Raw genomic sequence first — 21,700 nt, 5'->3', positions numbered from 1 at the left:
ACTCTGCCACATAAAGCAAAGCCACTGGCTCAACAGGACCCTCGATTCACAGGTTCCCCCAAGTACTCAGGCCTAGCCCACTGTAATTCAGCTAATATAAAAGCTAATAGTGTTGTACAGAAAAGAGTCAACACAGCTGGCCTGACTCCTAACCTTTGAAAGGCCTGCTTCCAAGGTTAGCCCTTAGCAGACATCTGGGAACTTGCATTTCAGGAGGGTCCCCACCACCTTAACTGCTAACTGTGGTTCGCTGTGCCTAAACTGTTTGTGCAAACAATATGGTTTCTGCTGAATACATACTTTGCTCCGGGGAGTTTGCCATTTTGATATGTTAGGCAAAAAGTACCCACATGACTAGCTCCCAGTAAAAACCCAGGCACTAGGTCCCTCATTAAGTTTCCTGGTAGAAAACATTTTAAACACGTTGTTACAACTAATTGCGGGAGGAATGAAGCACATCCTGTTTGACTCTACTTGGAGGGGACTCTGGAAGCTGAGCCTATTTCCCCTGGACTTTGCCTGATGCACCTTTTCCCTTTGCTGATTTTGCTTTGTATCTTTTCTCTGTAGTAAATCGTGGCCATGAATATGACCATATGCTGAGTCCTGTGAATCCTCCTATTGAACCATCAAGCCTGGGAGTGGTTCTGGGAACCTGACACAGGTGTCCATGGGCAGCAACAGTCAGCCAGCCCCAGTAACAATGCTGGCTGATTAACTGCCATAAAGGCCAGTCAGACAATGGCCTGAATTAAAAGGTATCACCCTTGCTTGGATGACACTCCTTCCTAACAGCCATGCATGTTATATTCTTACTGACTATTGTCAGTGTCCTGGTCATCTGGAGATTACAAACTGGCAGATCAAAGATACCTACCCCTCTCTTTTTATTTATTTATTTATTTATTTATTTATTTATTTATTTAAGACAGAGTCTTGCTCTGTTGCCCAGGCTGGAGTGCAGTGGTGCAATCTCACCTCACTGCAACCTCTGCCTCCCGGGTTCAAGCGATTCTCCTGCCTCAGCCTCCCGAGTAGCTGGGACTACAGGCATGCGTCACCTCGCCCGGCTAATTTTTGTATTTTTAGTAGAGACAGGGTTTCACCATGTTGGCCAGGATGGTCTCAAATTTCTGACCTCAGGCAATCCGCCTGCCTCGGTCCCTAAGTGCTGGGATTACAGGTGTGAGCCACCATGCCTGGCGATACCTACCCCTCACCCCTCTTTAGGGCCACAGACTATGGAAACAAATTGTGGTGACAAACTAGACAGCCTGGCTCACTCGTTTAGATGCCCATCATAAAGCTCAATCTCTGAAAAGACCAAATGGAGTCAAACTGCTGATCAAGCCTACTTCATCCAGATCACTGCCACTGCCACCTAAACATATCATTCTACTTGGCATGGTAACATACCCACTACCAAGGAGTGGCACAAAACAGAGGACTGTATATTTCTGGTTCAACTACCTGAGTCTCTGGTTGGAATGGTACAGCCTGAGATTGTTAGGATTGTGACCACTTGGCTGAGTATCCTGCTTGCTGATTTCCCTGCAGTGGCCCATGTGGGTAAAGAGAAGAGATATAACAGGTCTCTATACATCTGTAAAAATGCCCTGGTCCCATTCATACCTGACATTTCTGAATGAAAGATCTAAGTGATAGTAGGCAACAACTGGAGAAAAAGTGAAACTATAGATGCTGGCATAGGACATATGCTTTTTGTTTTGTTTTGTTTTTGTGAGACAGTCTCACTCAGTCGCCAGGCTGGAGTGCAGTGGTGCGATCTTGGCTCACTGCAGTCTCCGCCTCCTGGGTTCAAGCAATTCTCCTGCCTCAGCCTCCTGAGTAGCCAGGACTCCAGGCATGCGCCACCACACCCGGATAATTTTTGTATTTTTAGTAGAGACGGGGTTTCACCATGTTGGCCAGGATAGTCTTGATTTTCCTGACCTCATGATCCGCCCACCTCGGTCTCCCAAGGACACATGGATTTTATAGCAATAATCCTGCCACCTGGGGAGGATATACCTTAGATCCCAGAAAGTGCAGGGAACAATTAATGTTCTCTTTATCCCTTAGATCCATCACTGCCACCTGGCAAAACAATCCTAGGGTCTGCCCAAGCCCAGTGGCAGCTGCAGCTGTCAATATGGCCAACTGTTGGGTGTCTCATTTCCATCCACATGATAGGAAAACTCACATGGACACGTCAGTACTGAGCTATTCTGCTGTGTCTAATGCCATCAAAGGTAGTTCTCAACAGTGACCTTGTGCAGACACACCAGCCAGCACAATTTTGTTTCAACCTGACAGATACAAATTCATCTGCTTTTCCTGATGTCTGAGTAGCCTTGGATTATACCATGTAGGCAACTGAGGCTGAAGCTCCACAGTGACACTGCCCTCAGGCTCAACTAAACATTGTTCTGGTGACTCAAATCAAGCGTAACATGTGGGAGAGAATGGGTCATGGAATGTCTCCTTATGGGGGCATGAGGGTTGCTTGGGTCCATCTATTGCCCCCTGTACTTATTGGCAGTAACATCAAAGATTGGCAGGTCAATCTAAACTCTCTTATGTGGGTGGTCGTGGATAACAGATTGGTCTTAGACAATATCCTGATTATCCAAAATGAGACTTACTGGTCCTCCAGGACCTTCACAGCTGGTTGAGTCCAGGACCCTGTTCAATATTGCAGGTTAGGGGCCAGACACAGTGACTCACACCTATAATCCCAACACTTTGGGAGGCTGAGACAGGAAGATGGCTTGAGCCCAGGAGTTTGAGATCACCCTAGGCAGCACAGCAAGAACCTGTCTCTGAAAAAAATAATAAATTAATTAGCCAGGAATGGTGTCGCACAGGCCTGTCGTCCCAGCTACTCAGGAGGCTGAGGTGGGAGGTCTGTTTGAGCCCAGGAGTTCAAGGTTACAGTAAGCTAGGTGGGTGACAGAGCTTGGGTGACAGAGCAAGACCCTGTCTATAAAAAAAATAATAATAATGTAGGTTGGCCTTACCCTGCTATTCAGAATATAGTTGATAGTAATCTTAATTAAATGAAGTATGAGACTAATTGACAGATTTGGTCCTAGCCTCTATCAGTCAGATCAATCAGACTGAATAGCACATTCGTGTGAAAATTTGAGTTAGGCCGGGTGCGGTGGCTCACGCTTGTAATCCAAGCACTTTGGGAGGCCGAGGCGGGTGGATCACGCGGTCAGGAGATCAAGACCATCCTGGCTAACATGGTGAAACCCCGTCTCTACTAAAAATACAAAAAATTAGCCAGGTGTGGTGGCGGGCGCCTGTAGTCCCAGCTACTGGGGAGGCTGAGGCAGGAGAATGGCGTGAACCCAGGAGGCAGAACTTGCAGTGAGCCGAGATCGCGCCACTGTACTCCAGCCTGGGCGACAGAACGAGACTACATCTCAAAAAAAAAAAAAAAAAAAGAAAAGAAAAGAAAATTTGAGTTAAACCAAGCCATGGAGGGCTTGGGCTTGGGGCAGACTGTTGGGGTGGCAATCCATCATGGCCCTGAGCATCCCTGCATATTCTTGCAGGGCACACCAAAGATACAAAGCCCTAACCACTCTTTACCTGGGCCATGTCTTAGGATTGTGTTTGCAGAGAGCAACCTCGAACGGTGTGGTGATGTCTCTTCCCAAAGAGCACATTTGCTGCGGTTCACTATAAAAATCATGAATTTCTCCAGCTTGGCAGTTCTCAGCTATGATGCACACCCCCTGCATGCACAGCGCCCACCTGGCCCCTCTGTGTCACCTCCGTGGGAGTTAGGGAACAAGATGAACCAACACAACCAGGCCAACAGTCTAGCTAGTGCCTTTGCTGTAATACAGTCCAATGTCTCTGACCTATCAGTGTCCATGAAACAGTAGCAGGCTAGCTTGTTGGCCTGGAGGCAGAATTAAATCCTAGACCCTTGAGACACCCAACACCCCTCCCGACACCAGGGTTTGACAAGTCCAGTCCTCCAGCCACCACAGCCCTTCCTTCCTGCCCCTCCTAGCCCTGTCACTTCCAATCCCTTCCTCCATCTATCGTATCTGTCCCCCCTTTTTTTTTTTTGATACGGAGTTTCACTCATGTTGCCCAGGCTGGAGTGCAATGGCACGATCTCAGCTCACTGCAACCTCCACTTTCCGGGTTCAAGCGATTCTCCTGCCTCAGTCTCCTGAATAGCTAGGATTACAGGCATGCACCACCACGCCTGGCCAGTTTTTTGTATTTTTAGTAAAGACAGAGTTTCACCATATTGGCCAGGCTAGTCTCGAACTCCTGACCTCAGGTGATCCACCCGCCTCGGCCTCCCAAAGTGCTGGAATTACAGATGTGAGCCACCGTGCCCGGCCTGTCCTCATCTTTTATCCCAAACTTGGTCTCCAGCTCTCAAAGCCCACCTCAGCCCCCTGGAACCCCTGGAATGAGAGCATGTACAGGAGTGCGGGATGGAAGCCCAGTTGGTGCTCAGAGGTTCAAAGGCAGGGAAGAGCATGGCCTGATCTCCCTAGCTACCCTGATATCCACCTGAAGTGGGATGCCTATTTTGTGCTGGGATGGGTTTGTTCATAGCCTCCTAACTACCCCCCATAACTGGAGTTCACATGCTGTGAACAGACAGGGAGCCTGAGGCTAAGAGGGGAGCAATGACTTGCCCACAGGCTCCAATGAGTCAGTGATATCTTCTGGACCCAGGCCCAGGCTGCCTGGCTCCAAGTCCAAAGCCACCCAAGGTCCCCAGCCCCTGCAGGCCTCGGTGTCCTATGGCCCAGCAGAGGCAAAGCAGACACAGGCATAGGCCCTGGCAGCTCACCTCTGTGCGGTCGATTTTAAATGGGTTCTGGAAGTTGGAGTCTTTCTCACTGATCCCCAGCTCCTGGGCCATCTGCAGATGAAGAAACACTAGTCATCATCTGCCTTCTCCTGAGTCCTGCTCACCAGAGAGTCATTCCTTCCATGCTGGGACCCAGACTCCTGACTTGGGCAGATGTGGGCCACATGATGATCCCATGGGAACTGGGTCAGCACAGAATCCCTTGAAATGGGGCCTCTGTGGCCCAAGATACCCTGAAGCTCCACAAAGAAAATGTAACCAAGCACTGACGTTCAGGCCCAACTGAAGGCAGATGTGAGGATCCTAGTCCACTACCCGACAGAGGGCTCCCGGGCCACCTCCACCCCAGTCCTTACCAGGCTGAGGATGGGCGAGTGGGGCCCCTGGTTGAAGACGCCTGTCTGGTTGCAGAAACTGATACCCCAGCGGATGAGGAGGTTCCAGTTGGAGTTGTGGTCAAAGTAATAGTGCACAATCCTCGGGAAGCGCAGCACCACATCGCCGAAGAAGGCCGTGTTCTCCACCACGTGGGAGAAAGCTGGCGAGAGGACCCTGATGAGTGGCCAGGGCAGATGCTCTCCTGGCTGCCTCACTGGCCCCTGGCATCCTCTAGAGAACAGAGACATCCACCAAACCCACCAAGCAAGGAAGGAACAGTGCCTACTGACCACAGGCTGCCAATCACATGTACAGTGCGAACTAGGGCCTTACATCCACCAGCTCACTGAGTCCTCATAACCACTTTTAGAGGGAGATGTGGCTGCTGTTCCCATTTTACAGATGGGAAACTGAGGCTCAGCAGCTAGTGAGTAGCAAATCTGGGCTGCAAACCCAGGTCCGTCAGCCCAAAGGCACATCTTGCTGCTTAGAAGACACATTTGCTGTGGGGACCAGAGAAGTGAGTGTTGTTCTGCACACAGATGCTGATGTATCACATGAGACTTTACTGGGCTTGACCCCCCCACCGACATGTTATCCAAATGTCCAGTGCTGGCCCTGGTGTTAACACAACTAGAGTGTCTGTGAGACCTCAGGTATCTTAGGATGGCCACACAACAGGCCAGCATTTTTCTTTTTTAATATTCTTTCCATTTTATTTCATTTTAAGTGCTTAAGTTCTTATTTTGAATGAATGAATGAATATATTTAATTAATTAATTAATTACTTTAGAGGTGAGGTCTCACTTTGTTGCCCAGGCTGATCTCAAACTCCTGGCCTCAAGTGATCCTCCTACCTCGGCCTTCTAAAGCTCTGGGATTATAGGCATGAGCCACTGCACTCGGCCTGAAATTATCTTGGACTTAACATAACATAACATAAAATTCATTCACTTGGCTTCCTCTAATGTTACCATCCTTTTTTTTTTTTTTTTTTTTTTGGAGACGGAGTCTCGCTTTCTTGTCCAGGCTGGAGTGCAGTGGCATGATTTTGGCTCACTGCAACCTCCGCCTCGCGGGTTCAAGTGATTCTCCTGCCTCAGCCTCCCGAGTAGCTGGGATTACAGGTGCATGCCACCACACCCGGCTACTTTTTTATATTTTTGGTAGAGATGGGGTTTCACCGTGTTTGGCCAGGCTGGTCTCAAACTCGAACTCAAGTAATCCGCCTGCCTCGGCTTCCCAAAGTGCTGGGATTACAGGAGTAAGCCACCTGCTTGGCCTAGTGTTGTCATCTTATATAACCAACATACAACTATCTAAACCAGGAAATTAACAGCAATACAATACTACCAACTAACCTAACAGACTTAATTTGAATTTTCTGTTTTCCTACTAATGTGCTTCTACTGGTCAACAGGTCAATTTAGACTGAGCTTTGTTAGTGTGCTGTAGGAAAACAGCCTGCTGCAAGACAAGCGTGGCACCATCTTGAAGCCATAATGGCTGAGGTTTGACCCGTGCACACCAAGGTATTCTGCAGCAAGGTCTTTAAACAATGCCGGTAGCATAGATAACCCCTCAAAAAGATGATTATTTAACTTCCCCAGTGGTCACAAGTTTCACACGAAAGCCTGAGATGTCACCAGCTGCATGTTTTAACCTAAAAGCTTGCTGTATAAACAATACTTTTGGCCGGGTGTGGTAACTCACCCCTGTAATCCCAGCACTTTGGGAGTCCACATGGCGGGTAGATCACTTGACATCAAAAGTTCGAGACCAGCCCGGCCAACATGGCAAAACCCCATCTCTACTAAAAATACAAAAATTAGCCGGGCCTGGGGGCGCATGTCTCTAATTCCAGCTACTCGGGAGGCTGAGGCACAAGAATCACTTGAACCTGGGAGGCAGAGGTTGCAGTGAACTGAGATTGTGTCACTGCACTCCAGCCTGGGTGATGGAGTAAGACTGTCTCAAAAGAAAAAAAAGAAAAGAATAGTTTCTGTACAAGCATTGTCGTCTGCAAAACAACAAGTAAAGAATACTTTCTGGAGGTTGGGTGTAGAGACCACCATCTCATTTCTGCCTGAGACATGGTTCTGTTCAGAAGTCCCTAATAAATGTTTCTTTCTGAGAAACTGGCGCTCTCAGCTCCCTTGGCCTTGGAGGGTAGGTTTGCACAGACCTGCTCACCAAGGAACATGTGTCCATCATGGTAGCAAGTCCCCCAGATCCAGGTTAGCCAAAAGTGTAACTGTGTAAACAGGTCTAAGCAGTCCCTATTGGAGCCAGCCTGTCAGAAAGGGCCCAGGCAGCCCTCACCAGCACTAAGAGGCCACGCAGAAAGATAAGTAGACTCCAAAGATATGCCAGGGTGGGTCTGAGACATGTCAGGCAGGGACCCCGGGGCTTCAGAATAATCTTGAACCTCAAAGAACTCAGGAAGTCAGCCTGATTCAGAGGGAAGAGCCAAGGCAAATCACTTGTCCTCTTTCATATAGAAAGTAGAGAGAACAGTGTCTTCCCCCAGAGTTATGGTGGAGATTTGAGTTCATGGTTGTAAAGTATCTACTATTTAATATATAAGAGCTGTCCGCATCCTCTCAGTGTAATCTAAGAAATGCTATTGTGGCCGGGTGCAGTGGCTCTCGCCTGTAATCCCAGCGCTTTGGGAGGCCGAGGTGGGCGGATCATGAGGTCAAGAGATCGAGACCATCCTGGCCAACATGGTGAAACCTCGTCTCTATTAAGAATACAAAAACTAGCTGGGTGTGGCGGCATGTGCCTGTAGTCCCAGCTACTTGGGAGGCTGAGGCAGGAGAATCACTTGTACGCGGGAAGTGGAGGTTGCAGTGAGCCGAGATCACACCACTGTACTCCAGCCTGGCGACAGAGTGAGACTCTGTCTCAAAAAAAAAAAAAAAAAAAAAAAAAGAAATGCTATTGCTAAAAAGTAGCCAGTTAATTAGGGAGGCCACTCACGAAACGCCCATCTGCCCAAGGGGACCACTTAGAAGGTGCCACAAGAGGGCACTTCCGGGGAGAAAAAAAGAGTGACAAGAACAGGAGAGAAGGAGCAGCTAGAGAAGATCGGGTGGTGCGGAGGACAGGGCGGGGCAGGGCAGACCATACCATCCTTCAGCTTCTCGTCCTGGGGGAAGGGCCCATCTGGGAGCACATCAGCAGCGGTGAGCACTGTCCGGGAGTCCTCCAGCACCTGAGGGAATCCCGCCAGGGCTGAGTGGCTTCGCAGTGCCCATCACAGACTGCTCCCATCCCCATTTATTTAAACCCCACTTCAAGTCTTACGTGTGCGCAGTTCCCCTGTCCCTGAACACCAACCCGTTAGGGAACTCCTGTTTACCCATCAGTGCCTAGATCAAAGACTGGACCTGCCATGAGCTGCCCCCTGCCTGCACACACCTTAAAGAGCCCCTTGAGCATGACATCAAGGATCTTGTACTGCTGGTGGATGTCGTTCAGCTGTGCCAGGTTCTTCAGTGCCAACAGCTGCTCCCGCCGCTTCACCTCAAACATCTTCTTGTCTGGGCAGAATTAAGTTAAGGGGCTGGCATCAATAGCCCTGCCTGGACAATCCAGCAGTCTTGCCTCAGAAGGCTCATTCCTGACCAGCAAGTATCTGCAAGGGCCATGGACACCCAGGGCTAGAAGCCTCCAGGAAATGAACAAACTGACAAGTGCATGGACCTGCAACGCACTATTCATCCAGTTCCCATGGCGCTCCACACCCAGAAGCCTGAAACCAAGCCTCCAGACCTGGCTCCTGCCTTCCCTTTGCTGTGGTCTTCCTGCCGTCTCCACAAGCATTCTACTGTTCCAGAGCCTCCACCTCTCTGCTCGCGCTGCACCCTCTCTGCCCAGGATGCCCCTCACCCTCCTCTAGGAGTTTCTTTCCTTTCAAGGCCTGGCTCAAAAACCATCACACAGTGTTTCTCCCTGACCCCTCCTGTGCCCATCAGAGCACTGGTCACAGAGTAACATGATCATTTGTTTGGATACTTTCTCCCCCTGGGCTTATGGACACCTCAAAGCCAGGGGACTTGTTGTAATTCATCTTCGTGTCCTTGAGGCCTGGCCTGGAGCAGGTGGCCCAGTTCACCAGGGTCCAGATGGGCCAGTAATCCAGAATTCCTGAGTCTCCACCCAGGATCTTGCCCACAAGGTGCCAGGCCATGCACAGTCCTCACTGAGCCTTTGCAGTCTAGAGATGGGCCTTGTCATCTCCATTTACCATACGCGGAAGCTGAAGCTCCGGAGAGACCTGACTTGCTCAAGGTCTGGCTAGAGCACCTCACCTTTTCTCCCTGTTCCCGCCAGCTGGGCCTGCTTATCCCTGGAATCCCTGAGTAGAAGAACCTCATTTATAGACCTCTCAAAGACAGCTCATTAACTACAACCCCAAAGGATACAGATCTCCAGGCTTGGGTCCAGGGAGGTCCTCAAGGTGCCTGTGGCTCCCATCCCAGACAAAAGCAGGACAAAGAGGAAGGCCAGGAATTGAAGAAGGTCCATATCCAAACCTCTTGAGCTGGAAGAATAACCCAAAGAAAGAGAGTGAGACTCAGAGATCGGTGTTACATAAAATAGAGTGCACAGGTGAACAGCAGCTTCCCCCGACATAGTGCAGCCTCTGTATACCAAGAACCCAGCTTTGGGGAGCCCTGAAGCTGCAGCTCTTATCCCAGGGCCAGCAGGCACACAATACAGAGCCGTGGGATGCTAGGAGGTGGGGAGAAAGATAAGTGTGTGTAACACAGGAACACTTAGAGCACAGGGTCAGTGGCTAGAGCTCTAGGCTGGAGCCCTGCCCCCGCCCGTCTCTGGGACCTCGAGCAGCTTGCCCAGCCTTTCTGAGCCTCAGCCTTCTCAGCTGTAGAACAGGGATAAGGAGGTCACCTCCCTGCTGCAGGGAGGGAGGTCTGGGTGAGGCACTGTGCCTGGGGAGGAGGGGCTCGTCAACAGTATTCCTTCCACATCCCCTATCCTGGTCTCCCAGGAAAGCATCTGGTCAAGGAAGCCCAGGCAGAGAAGATATGAAACTTCTGGAGTTTTCCTCCTTCCTTGACTTTTGTCATCAGAAAGTAAGAAGGGACAAAGGGCAGGGAGGAAGGCAGGGCAGTCTCGGGGTAAGGGGGCTTGCTACTCACTCACTTTGGAACCATAGGTACTACATAGAATACCTGTTCATATTCAGGCAACATGCAACAATTATTTATTTATTTTAATTTAATTTTTTTTTTTTAAGATGGAGTTTCACTCTTGTTGCTCAGGCTGGAGTGGAATGGCGCAATCTCGGCTCACTGCAACCTCCACCTCCCGGGTTCAAGCGATTCTCCTGCCTCGGCCTCCTGAGTAGCTGGGATTACACGCATGCGCCACCATGCCCAGCTAATTCTGTATTTTCAGTAGAGACGGGGTTTCTCCATATTGGCCAGGCTGGTCTCGAACTCCCAACCTCAGGTGATCCGCCTGCCTTGTCCTCCCAAAGTGCTGGGATTCAGATGTGAGCCACCGCGCCCGGCCCTTTTTATTTATTTTTTCCTTAGTAGAGATGAGGTCTTGCTATATTGCCCAGGCTGGTCTCCAACTCCTGAGCTCAAGAGATCCTCTCGCCCCAGCCTCCCAAATACTGGGATTACAGGCGTGAGCCACTATGCCCAGCCAACACAATTATTTATTGAGCACTGTGAAGTTCACTTTCCTGGTGATTCCCAGGACATACATTGCTGCCTTCCACCCTTCCTCTTTCTCCCCTTGAAAGGATGCATCTTTTCACTTGGCTGGGGTGGTAATTCTCTTAAATGTTTTTTGTTAGTTCCTGTAATTTTTTTTTTTTTTTTTGAGACAGGGTCCTGCTCTGCTGCCCAGGCTGGAGTGCAGTGGCACAGTCATGGCTCATTGCAGCCTCCACTTCCCAGGCTCAAGCCATCCTCCCACCTCAGCCTCCTGAATAGCTGGCACTACAGGTGCATGCCGCCATGCACGGCTATTTTTTGTATTTTTCTTAGACGTGGGTTTTGCTACATTGCCCAGGCTAGTCTTGAACTCCTGGGCTCAAGTGATCCACCCATCTTGGCCTCCCAAAGTACTGGGATACAGGTGTGAGTCACTGCACCCGGCTACTATAGCTTTTTTCTCTGGTTCTAACTCTGCTGTTACGGCCTGACACTCAAATATTCTGTCTTGAGGGCCTAGAAAAACAATGTTTTCCTCTAGTATAACTTGATTCTGTACTTCGGGCTTTTCTTGATGTGTCTGAATTGTTCCATTTAACCAGGAAATTTCTCATGCTTTTAACTAAGAGCCAGGTATTCCCCAGTTGAAGGCACTAGTTTTTGTTTTGTTTTGTTTTTTTGAGACGGAGTCTTGCTCTGTTGCCCAGTCTGGAGAGCAATGGCACGATCTCGGCTCACTGCAACCTCCGCTTCCTGGGTTCAAGCGATTCTCCCTGCCTCAGCCTCCCGAGTAGCTGGGATTACAGTTGCCTGCCACCACACACAGCTAATTTTTGTATTTTTAGTAGCAACGGGGTTTTGCCATGTTGGCCAGGCTGGTCTTGAACTACTGACCTTAGGTGATCCACCGCCTCAGCCTCCCAAAGTGCTGGGATTACAGTCGTGAGCCACCGTGCCTGGCTGGTACTAGTTTTCTTGTTTACATTCCACTATAATATGATGGAAACTCATAACCTTGGACACACTCTGCCTGTGTCTGATGAAATTCACAACTTTTTCATAAAACCTGAGCTATGAAAGGGTTAAGATTTTTTTGTTTTTACACCCTGGTAACCTTCTGTATTGCTTGCGACACATAAATAACAAATTGACAAATTTCCTTGTCCACTGCTGATTATAATGAACTTCCATTAGATTTTTAACCATGGGGACAGGCATGGTGGCTCATGCCTGTAATCCCAGCACTTTGGGAGGCCGAGGTGGGCGGATCACAAGGTCAGGAGATCAAGACCATCCTGGCTAACACAGTGAAACCCCGTCTCTACTAAAAATACAAAAAAAATTAGCCGGGCGTGGAGGCATGTGCCTGTAATCTCAGCTACTTGGGAGGCTGAGGCAGGAGAATCGCTTGTACCCAGGAGGCAGAGGTTGCAGTGAGCCGAGATCGCACCACTGCACTCCAGCCTGGGCAACAGAGCGAGACTGCGAATCAAAAAAAAAAAAAAAAAAAAAATTAGTCGCCTAAAAAAAAAAGATTTTCAACCATGGTTGTTCCAAGTCTTTGTCATCTGTGGTTCTGATTCTTCTCTAAGAGCATTTGCAATCAGATTCATAAGAAGACTCTAACAAGTAATCTTAAATACAAGTTTCTAAAAACTTAAAAACTTTAAGATCTATGGACTAAATAAAGAATTTTCAGAACTCTAATGAAGAAACTGATGAATTCCTGAAATCTCTAATCAAAATCAAACAGAACTCAATTAAAAACTGATGAAGATAATTTTCTTTTCTTTTCTGTATTTATTTATTTATTTTTGAGACAGGGTCTCACTCTGTCATCCAGGCTCACTGCAGCCTCAACCTCTTGGGCTTAAACAAGCCTCCTACCTCAACATCCTGTGTAGCTGAGACTACCAGCACATGTCACCATGCCCAGCTATTATAATTTTTAAAATCTTTTTGTAGAGGTAGGATCTTGCTATATTGCCTAGGCTGGTCTCAAACTCCTGAGCTCAAGCAATCCTCCTGCCTTGGCCTCCCAAAGTGCTGAGATTACAGGCATGAGCCACCCTGCCAGAGTAATGTGTTTATGACATATATTTGGAATATTATTGGTTCTTTACTTGTTTTGTTTTCTAAATTTAAGGAAACTTTTTCTCTTAAGCTATCTATAGTTTACAGCAATTCCATAAGAAATACTTTTGTAAAGAGAGGTGGAAACATTTACTTTTTCTCCCTATTTAACCCATCTAAAATTTGAAAACTATTCAAGAAAAGTATTCTTTTTTTTATTTTATTTTTTATTTTTTAGACAGGGTCTCCCTCTGGAGTACAGTGGTATAATCATGGCTCACTGTAGCCTTGACCTCCCAGGCTCAATCAATTCTCCTTCCTCAGTCTCCCAAGGGCCTGGGAGTACAGGCATGCACCACCACACCCAGCTAATTTTTGTATTTTTTAGTAGAGATGGGGTTTGGGCATGTTTCCCAGGTTGATCTTGAACTCCTGGGTTCAAGTGATCAGGCTGCCATGGCCTCCCACAGTGAAAGGATTACAGGCGTGAGCCACCATGCTGGTCTATTCATGAGTATTCTTACGGCAATGTGGTTATTTGCAAAAGTCCAGTAAGACTTTGCTCTCTCTCTTTTTTTTTTATTTTGAGACAGAGTCTCACTCTGTTGCTCAGGCTGGAGTGCAGTGGCACGATCTCAGATCTTGCAACCTCCACCTCCCAGGTTCAAGTGATTCTTGCGCCTCAGCCTCCCCAGTAACTGGGATCACAGGCGAGCACTACCATGTCTGACTAATTTTTGTATTTTTAGTAGAGACAGCGTTTCACCATGTTGGCCAGGCTGGTCTCGAACTCCTGGCCTTAAGCGATCTGCCCACTTTGGGCTCCCAATGTACTGAGATTACAGGCGTGAGCCACTGTGCCCAGCCTGTTCTCTCTTATAACAGAATACAACAAATATTGCTTATATTACCAGGGCTTTAACTAGAATATCATACTTGAGAATGTACATAGAAAGCCTGCCTTCAAAGATTCCCAGCCTTACAGTGAATGAGTAAAATCTGTCACTTCCTGGCAGGCCCAGGAACCTTAAGACTGTTAAGTAAAATCTAAAGTCTGCCTTGGTTTTGCTTCCTAGCCTTAAATGGTTTTTAAATCTGTTATTCCTATGTGATCACTGTAAAGAGAAAATTTTGTTTCTAAAAAAAGCTATAGTACATCTGTTATTAGACTGCAGCCCTGTGCATTGTTTTTGAGTTCTCATTATCTACTTGTATACTGGACTAGCTCCTGAATTCTAGATTCCTCCAATCTAACTTTCTTTCATGAAATTATTAAAAATTGGCACTGCTCTGTTCCTGAAGCCCTGTAAGTTGAAACTAGATGAACTTTAAGGTACAAGCCTTGTGCCTAATGTATGGGTCACACAGGAAGTTCACCAAACATCCCAATGCCATAACCAGAGACATTCAAACTGCAAACCAGGATAAGAAGTTGATGGTTTCATACTGTAGATAGCTTTTCCGAAGACACTGGAACAAGATTCCATATCATTTTGAGACTCTTACTCGTTTCTTTTTTTTTGAGTAGGAGTCTGGCTCTGTCGTCCAGGCTGGAGTGCAGTGGTGCAATCTCGGCTCAATGAAAGCTCCACCTTCCAGGTTCACGCCATTTTCCTGCCTCAGCCTCCCGAGTAACTAGGACTACAGGTGCCCGCCACCACGCCCGGGTAATTTTTTTTGTATTTTTTGTAGAGACGGGGTTTCACCATGTTAGCCAGGATGGTCTCCATCTCCTGCCCTCGTGATCCGCCCGTCTCAGCCTCCCAAAGTGCTGGGATTACAGGCGTGAGCCACCACGGTGGGCCTCTCAGAACTATTATGCAAACTGAGATTATCACATTGCTATTACTTCCTATTTTCCTATTTATTTATTTTACATTATTTTTGGAGACAGAGTCTCACTCTGTAGCCCGAGCTGGAGTGCAGTGGCACCATCTTGGCTCACTGTAACCTCTGCCTCCCGGGTTCAAGTGATTCTCCTGCCTCAGCCTCCCGAGTAGCTGGGATTACAGGTGTGCATCACCATGCCTGGCTAATTTTTGTATTTTTTGTAGAGACGAGGTTTCATGATCTTGGCCAGGCTGGTCTCGAACTCCTGGGTTCAAGCAATCTGGCCATCTTGGCCTCCCAAAGTGCCAGGATTACAGGGGTGAGCTATCGTGCCCAGCCCTATTTTCTTTTTAAACTTTATACCTATTACTTTTTAAATTTTTGTTGAAGTATCACTCCTGACAGAATAATGCTGGCCCAGAAGTTTGCAATGACAGCAAATGCCTATGGAACAGCCAAAATTGAACTTAACAATGAACTCCAGGTAGACATACCTTGAGAGCCACTCCTTCCAAACCTCCCTTGCTGCTCAAATGTGGCTAAAAGGTATTTGGGGTTTTTTGAGGCAGGGTCTCGCTCTGTCACCCACGCTGGAGTGCAGCGGTACAATCATAGCTCCCTATAACCTGAAACTCCTGGGCTTAAGTGATCCTCTACCCAACTGACTCCCGCACACTCCCCAACCAATGCCCAGATAACTTTTTTTTTTTGAGACGGAGTTTCGCTCTTGTTGCCCAGGCTGGAGTGCAATGGTGCGATCTCGGCTCACCGCAACCTCCACTTCCCAGGTTCAAGCGATTCTCCTGCCTCAGCCTCCCTAGTAGCTGGGATTACAGGCATGTGCCACCACGCCCGGCTAATTTTTGTATTTTATTTTATTTATTTTTTATTTTTTTATTTTTTATTTTTTTGAGACAGAGTCTTGCTCTGTCGCCCAGGCTGGAGTGCAGTGGTGCGATCTCGGTTCACTGCAAGCTCTGCCTCCTGGGTTCACGCCATTCTCCTGCCTCAGCCTCCCAAGTAGCTGGGACTACAGGCACCTGCCACCACGCCCGGCTAATTTTTTGTATTTTTAGTTGAGATGGGGTTTCACCGTGTTAGCCAGGATGGTCTCGATCTCCTCACCTCATGATCCGCCTGCCTCGGCCTCCCAAAGCGCTGGGATTACAGGTGTGAGCCACCGCGCCCGGATGTTATTTATATATATTTTTGTATTTTAGTAGAGACGGGTTTCTTCATGTTGGTCAGGCTGGTCTCGAACTCTCAACCTCAGGTGATCCGCCCGCCTTGGCGGTTGCCCAGGCTGGTCTTGAACTTCTGGACTCAAGTGATACTCCCTCCTTGACCTCCCAAAGTACTGGGATTACAGACGTGAGCCCCTGCTCCCAACCACTACAAGGGTTTTGACACTGACTCCTAGTCACCAGTCTCCAACTGGAGACTCCTAGTCTCCAACATGGCAAGAGACCAACAACCCAAGATAGGTCCGTCCCAGCACTGAGGGACCTAACTACAGGATGACTGATCAGTAAAGTTTTTGGAGAAAGATCTTGACCAAAAGGGGGAAATATGAAAGTTGTTAGAATCAAAACAGAGTCGTTTGTGTTAAAAACTCTGACAAATTTAAAGCATGATTCTCCAATGGGAAAAAACAAGAACAACAACTCTGACAAATAAAACCGAGGAAGGTTGTGAAAAGAGGGTTCTTATGCACAAATGACTGATAACAAGATCACAAAAAATGCAAAAACCACAACCCTGCACAAAGGCCACTGCAAACTTACACAGAAAAATCTTTCTGTGAGGACATCTGCCCTGCAACTGCCTGTCCAACCTCAGACTAGCACCACTCTTGCTATTCATCCTTGTAGCCAAGGATAACTATCTCAAAATAATCATGTAATCCTCATTTTTCCTTTTCAAAACCTTTGTCTTCCTTTACCTCCCCAAATACGTACACAGGTTACTATGGCACACATATTGTCACTACAATGTCTATTCCCAAGTAAACATCATTTTTTTAGAGTCTCTCACTCTGCTATTTAGGTTGACAGTACCTACCACACTCTAGGCACTGTTCTAGAGGCGGGAATACAGCAATAAATAAGCAAAAATCTCTGCACTCATGGTACTTGTCTCTAGTAGGGATAAGAGTTGATCAATAAACTTGTAAAATAAGCACAGAGGGATGAGAGGGTGTCGGTCAGGTACAAGATTACATAAAGTGGTCAGGAGAGGTCTCACACTCAGATTACAACTCCCCAATGTTACCAATGTGAAATCAAGGCACAGAAAAATGAGGTGACTGCCCAAAGTCACACAGCTATTCCCAGGCTGAACCAAGTGTCTGTTTGGCTCTAAGTCCAGTGCTCTGTCTTCTGACTCTTTGTAAATGAGCACAGGCTACCTGAGATCAGAGCTGGCTACTGAACTACCAGGACACCTGCCCCAGGGGAGAGATGCTCAGTTACAGACAGTGAGGGGCTGCAGAGATCATCCGGAGAACCCCCTACCCCCAAGCAGACGAGATAAGTGAAACCTAGAGAAGGAATAGTCCAAGTTCACCCAGGACCCTCCACATTCCACCTCCTGCTCCAAACTCAAGGGAACCAGAACCAGGCTAGGGCAAAACTTTAGGGGCCAAGGAGAATACCAGACAGCTGGCAATGACTGAAGCAGGTAGTGGGAAAGAAAAGCCAGAACAGCAGCCTGCGGGACAGGTCCTGCTTTCTCTACTGTTAAACTCACTTTTTCAGCCTCTCAATCCCGATCCTGCCGTATGCGTCACCCGGAGCTCCTCCTGGCTCAGCATGAGGCTCTGAACTCCTGCAGAGGTACCAGGTAGTGGCGGGCCTTGAGCCAGCTACCGGGGTCGGGGGCCCAGGTGGTTGACCCCGAGCCTTCGGAGCTCCCGGAGGAGGGAGCGAGCCTTCTCAAGGAACAGAGGCGTCCAGGTCCACGAAACTCCCTCCCCACCACCTGCAGCCGGTTCGAGGCCCTCGGTTCTCTCATTATCCTTCCCGGGAACCTGCAGCCCGCGGCCCCTACAGCCACCTACCTGGCCAGTCGGTGCAGGAAGGGCAGGTGGCCGAGTCCTGTGCGAGCAGCTAGGCTCGAAGGTCCAACAGGCTAACAGCAAAGCAACTGAAAGCGGGAGCAAACGGCTAGCAACCGAGCGCAGACCGCCGAGCTCCGTCCCGCCCACCGCGCTGCTCCCGGCCAATGAGCGCGAGCCGCCACTGCGGGGCTCCGCTAGCCTCACTTCCGGCCCCGCTCCACCGCCCCTGCCTGCCCCTCCAGGCTCTGGCGTGCCTCCAGCGCGCTGTGGGCACCATCCTCGTCCTGTCCCTCCTGCGGGCCCTGGGTACGTGGCCCTGGATTTAGCTTGTGTTGGAGGAAGTTAAATCTGTGGGTGGGGTCTGTGCCCAATTTAAGGCGTGAATCAGCAAACTGGGGTCCCAGCTCCTGTCGGCCGGGCGACCTTCTGCGCGCCCTCCCTGAAACTGTGTCGTCGTCTGTGGCCGAGTTTTTAAACTTTAGATCGCAACGTGAGTTTAGTGGGCGGTGACTAGCACTTTTGTTCTTCTTTAAGGACCTCAGAGACTCAGTGCAGGATTCGGGCATCCCCTCCTTGCCCCTCCGGTCCACCAACTAATAAGCCAAGTGCGGCGGGGGCTTCCTCGTCCGTTCGTTAGGCCGAGTGCAGCCCCACTTTTGCGCAGGATCAGGACAGTCAGACCCGAGAAGGCAGCGTGGCGTGGCCATCTCCGGGCCCGGGGCCCCTGCCGGGCGGGAAGGGAGCTGGAGGCCCGGTCTGGGCTGAGCTCCCCAGAACAGGCGCAGGGCAGGCACTGTCGAGCGCAGACCTCATGCCGGGGACCAAGCTGGACATGCATTCCCAGGATCTACCCACGAGGGTGCATAAACACCAGTTCTGATGACGGCTGTACGGGAAGGGACAGAGGTGACCTACTTTAGCCAGACAAGGGCTGAGGCTGGGACAGTTTCGTTCTGATAGGAAAGCTGAGAATTTGACCCTCCTTGCCTGGAAAGTTTACCTCTATCCACCTCCACGTGAGGCGAGGGAGCAGGTCAAGTGCCTCTGGGAGCTGTTGAATCGCAGCAGCCCCAACCCCTAGGCCTTTCTCTGCCCTGCCAGCCCCAGGATGGCCTGACTGGTGTTCTCTGAGTACAGCTGAGGCACCCAGCTGACTCCTTGAATGCTGTTACAAGAACAAATCCTGTCCCGTCCCTCCTTCCCTGAGGAGGCCATCAGTCTCCTTGCTGAAACAATCCCTTATCCAACTGGCTGAGAAACCAGCTCCTGGTAGACAAGGTAGTACAGTGTTTTTGGAGAGCTCGCGCAGGTATGTGAGTGTATCATTTTATTTCCTTATTCTATTTCAACAATAGAGTATATGGCTCCATATGAATAGCTTCAGCTGTCATCCATTTCCCCAACAATTATGCCCTTTGTCTCCAGGTCTCATTCTCTCTCCACTTCTGGGCCTTCAAGTCCTGAGGATCAGTTTCTGATGTGGGACAGGGATACAGCCACCCCTCCCAGGCAGCTGGCAGCAAAACATGAGAGGAAAACAGCAGAGAAGTGGGGCCAACCATGGGGGCATCACACTTCCAGAGCCCAAAACAGTCAAGAATGGTCAGGCAAGAACAGAAGTGCTCCTGAGAATAGTGGGATGGATTCTGAAATTGGGTCCTGAACACCTGGGCTAGGTAGTTGCTATTCAACAGGGAACTATTGCACGGAAGGGGCAAGGAAGAGAGCCAGGGAGGCAGCCAGAGGGGTGCAGAGGAAGCAAACTACCCTCACACACACCTCTGGACTGCAGTATCTCTGGACTGCAGTGTCTCTGGGTGCAACCAGCCACCTACCAGAGGGTCTCTGACCACTGCCACAGCCCCAAGCTTGCTTTTTTTTTTTTTTTTTGAGACATAGTCTCACTCTGCCACCCAGGCTGGAGTGTGCAGTGGCACAATCTCGGCTCTCTGGTCACTGCAATCTCCACCTCCCAGGTTCAAGTGATTGTCCTGCCTCATCCTCCCAAGTAGCTTGGATTACAGGCATGCACCACCATGCCCGGCTAATTTTTGTATTTTTAGTAGAGATGGGGTTTTACCATGTAGGCCAGGCTCGTCTCAGAACTCCTGACCTCAAGTGATCCACTCACCTTGGCTGGGATTACAGTGTGAGCCACTGCGCCCGGCCCCCAAGCTTTCTTTTTTTTTGAGACGGAGTCTTGGTCTGTTGCCCAGGCTGGAGTACAGTGGCGCGATCTTGGCTCACTGCAGCCTCTGCCTCCCAGGTTCCAGTGATTCTCCTGCCTCAGCCTCCTGGGTAGCTGGGATTACAGGCTCATGCTACCACGCCCAGCTAATTTTTGTATTTTTTAGTAGAGATGGGGTTTCACCATGTTGGCCAGGCTGGTCTCAAACTCCTGAGCTCAGGTGATCTGCCCACCTTGGCCTCCCAAAGTGCTGGGATTACAGGCGTGAGCCACTGCACCCGGCCATCCAAGCTTTCTTAAGAACATGGAAGTCACACAGACACACACACATTGTGTGTGTGTGTGTGTGTGTGCACCTGGCCATCCAAGCTTTCTTAAGAACATGGCAGTCACAGAGACACACACTATGTGTGTGTGTGTGTGTGTGTGTGTGTGTGTGTGTGTGTGTGTGTGTGTGTGTGTTGGGCTGAGGATCACTTGAACCAACTGCGCTTGGACAACTGTCTCCAAAGCTCATGGGGGAAGGACTAGCTCCTTTCTGAGTTCGGTGATGTAGCTTTGGAGACAGGCAAATCTGAGGTCAAATCCTGATTGTATCACTAGCTCTGTGATTCTGGGCACGACTGAATGTCTCTGGCCTCAGTTTCGTTATTTGGAAAGGGAGTAGGAATAATAACAGACACCAATATAACATTCACACCAAGCCAGGAGCTGTTTTTGGTGCTTTACATATATTAACTCATTTAAGTCCTTGCTACAACCCTAGGAGGTAGGTACAGGTTGAGTATCCCTTATCCAAAATTCTTGGGACCAGAAGTGTTTTGTATTTCAGATTTTTTTTCGAATTTTGTAATATTTGCCTATAATAATGAGATATGTTGGGGATGGGACCCAAGTCTAAACACAAAATTCATTTGTTTTATATACACCTTGTACACATAGCCAGAAGGTAATTTTTTATTTTTTTGAGACGGAGTCTTGCTCTGTCGCCCTGGCTGGAGTGCAGTGGTGCAATCTTAGCTGACTGCAACCTCTGCCGCCCAAGTTCAAGCAGTTCTCCTGTCTCAACCTCCTAAGTAGCTGGGATCACAGACGTGTGCCACCACAGCCGACTAATTTTTGTATTTTTAGTAGAGACAGGGTTTCACCATGTTGGCCAGGCTGGTCTTGAACTCCTGACCTCAGATGATCCACCCACCTTGGCCTCCCAAAGTGCTAGGATTACAGGCGTGAGCCACGCGTCTGGCCACCTGAAGGTAATTTTATGCAGTTTTAAATAATTTTGTTCATGGGCCAGGCACAGTGGCTCATGCCTGTAATCCCAGCACTTGGGAGGCCAAGGCAGGCAGATCACCTGAGCTCAGGAGTTTGAGACAAGCCTGGGCAACATGGTGAAACCCTGTATCTACAAAAATTAGCCAGGCATGCTGGTGTGCACCTGTAGTCTCAGCTACTCGGAGGGCTGAGGCGGGAGGATCCCTTGGGCCCAGGAGGTGAAGGCTACAGTGAGCTATGTTCACACCAGTGCACTCCAGCCTGGGTGACAAAGCAAGACACTGTCTTAAAAAAAATAAATAAAAAGAATGTAAAAAATATAATTTTATTCATGAAACAAAATTTTT

The 21,700-nt window shown here is 48.9% G+C and overlaps 2 protein-coding genes across 24 annotated transcripts in view, besides 6 other annotated features; both read right to left on the bottom strand.

Moving 5' to 3' along the window:
* Positions 1–17,978, bottom strand: part of CCDC134 (coiled-coil domain containing 134) — a 31,486-nt gene extending 13,508 nt beyond the window's left edge. Inside the window, exons 1-7 of one of the 3 annotated variants that reach the window (NM_001382346.1) lie at positions 17,891–17,978; positions 17,581–17,658; positions 9,664–9,782; positions 8,657–8,778; positions 8,366–8,450; positions 5,212–5,393; positions 4,835–4,906 (exon numbers count right to left, since the gene is read on the bottom strand). In NM_001382346.1, the coding sequence (NP_001369275.1) occupies positions 4,835–4,906; positions 5,212–5,393; positions 8,366–8,450; positions 8,657–8,778; positions 9,664–9,766 (564 nt within the window). In that variant the 5' untranslated portion in view covers positions 9,767–9,782; positions 17,581–17,658; positions 17,891–17,978. The remainder of the gene's footprint in view (positions 1–4,834; positions 4,907–5,211; positions 5,394–8,365; positions 8,451–8,656; positions 8,779–9,663; positions 9,783–17,580; positions 17,659–17,890) is intronic. The other 2 variants (NM_024821.5, NM_001304797.2) reach the window with 2 other exon arrangements.
* Positions 17,956–18,015: a silencer, noted in NCBI's record as "silent region_13798". NCBI's record gives its function as "represses an Ori minimal core promoter by ATAC-STARR-seq in GM12878 lymphoblastoid cells {active_cell/tissue: GM12878}" and the evidence as "EXISTENCE:reporter gene assay evidence [ECO:0000049][PMID:35858748]".
* Positions 18,166–18,245: an enhancer, noted in NCBI's record as "active region_19135". NCBI's record gives its function as "activates an Ori minimal core promoter by ATAC-STARR-seq in GM12878 lymphoblastoid cells {active_cell/tissue: GM12878}" and the evidence as "EXISTENCE:reporter gene assay evidence [ECO:0000049][PMID:35858748]".
* Positions 18,166–19,157: a biological region, named in NCBI's record as "H3K27ac-H3K4me1 hESC enhancer GRCh37_chr22:42195504-42196490".
* Positions 18,171–19,157: an enhancer, noted in NCBI's record as "H3K27ac-H3K4me1 hESC enhancer chr22:42195504-42196490 (GRCh37/hg19 assembly coordinates)". NCBI's record gives its function as "activates a minimal SCP1, AML or CMV promoter by ChIP-STARR-seq in naive H9 embryonic stem cells {active_cell/tissue: H9 hESC(naive)}" and the evidence as "EXISTENCE:reporter gene assay evidence [ECO:0000049][PMID:30033119]".
* Positions 18,316–18,395: an enhancer, noted in NCBI's record as "active region_19134". NCBI's record gives its function as "activates an Ori minimal core promoter by ATAC-STARR-seq in GM12878 lymphoblastoid cells {active_cell/tissue: GM12878}" and the evidence as "EXISTENCE:reporter gene assay evidence [ECO:0000049][PMID:35858748]".
* Positions 18,606–18,695: a silencer, noted in NCBI's record as "silent region_13797". NCBI's record gives its function as "represses an Ori minimal core promoter by ATAC-STARR-seq in GM12878 lymphoblastoid cells {active_cell/tissue: GM12878}" and the evidence as "EXISTENCE:reporter gene assay evidence [ECO:0000049][PMID:35858748]".
* The window catches only part of MEI1 (meiotic double-stranded break formation protein 1), a 99,952-nt gene continuing 97,454 nt past the window's right edge, over positions 19,203–21,700 (bottom strand). For all 21 annotated transcript variants that reach the window (XM_011529945.4, XM_011529939.3, XM_011529936.3 and 18 more), the window contains one exon: positions 19,203–19,403. In XM_011529945.4, the coding sequence (XP_011528247.1) occupies positions 19,358–19,403 (46 nt within the window). In that variant the 3' untranslated portion in view covers positions 19,203–19,357. The remainder of the gene's footprint in view (positions 19,404–21,700) is intronic.

Source organism: Homo sapiens, chromosome 22 (assembly GCF_000001405.40).
Source record: "Homo sapiens chromosome 22, GRCh38.p14 Primary Assembly".
Classification (NCBI taxonomy): Eukaryota; Metazoa; Chordata; class Mammalia; order Primates; family Hominidae; genus Homo; species Homo sapiens.
This window is presented reverse-complemented; position numbering and strand designations above follow the sequence as displayed.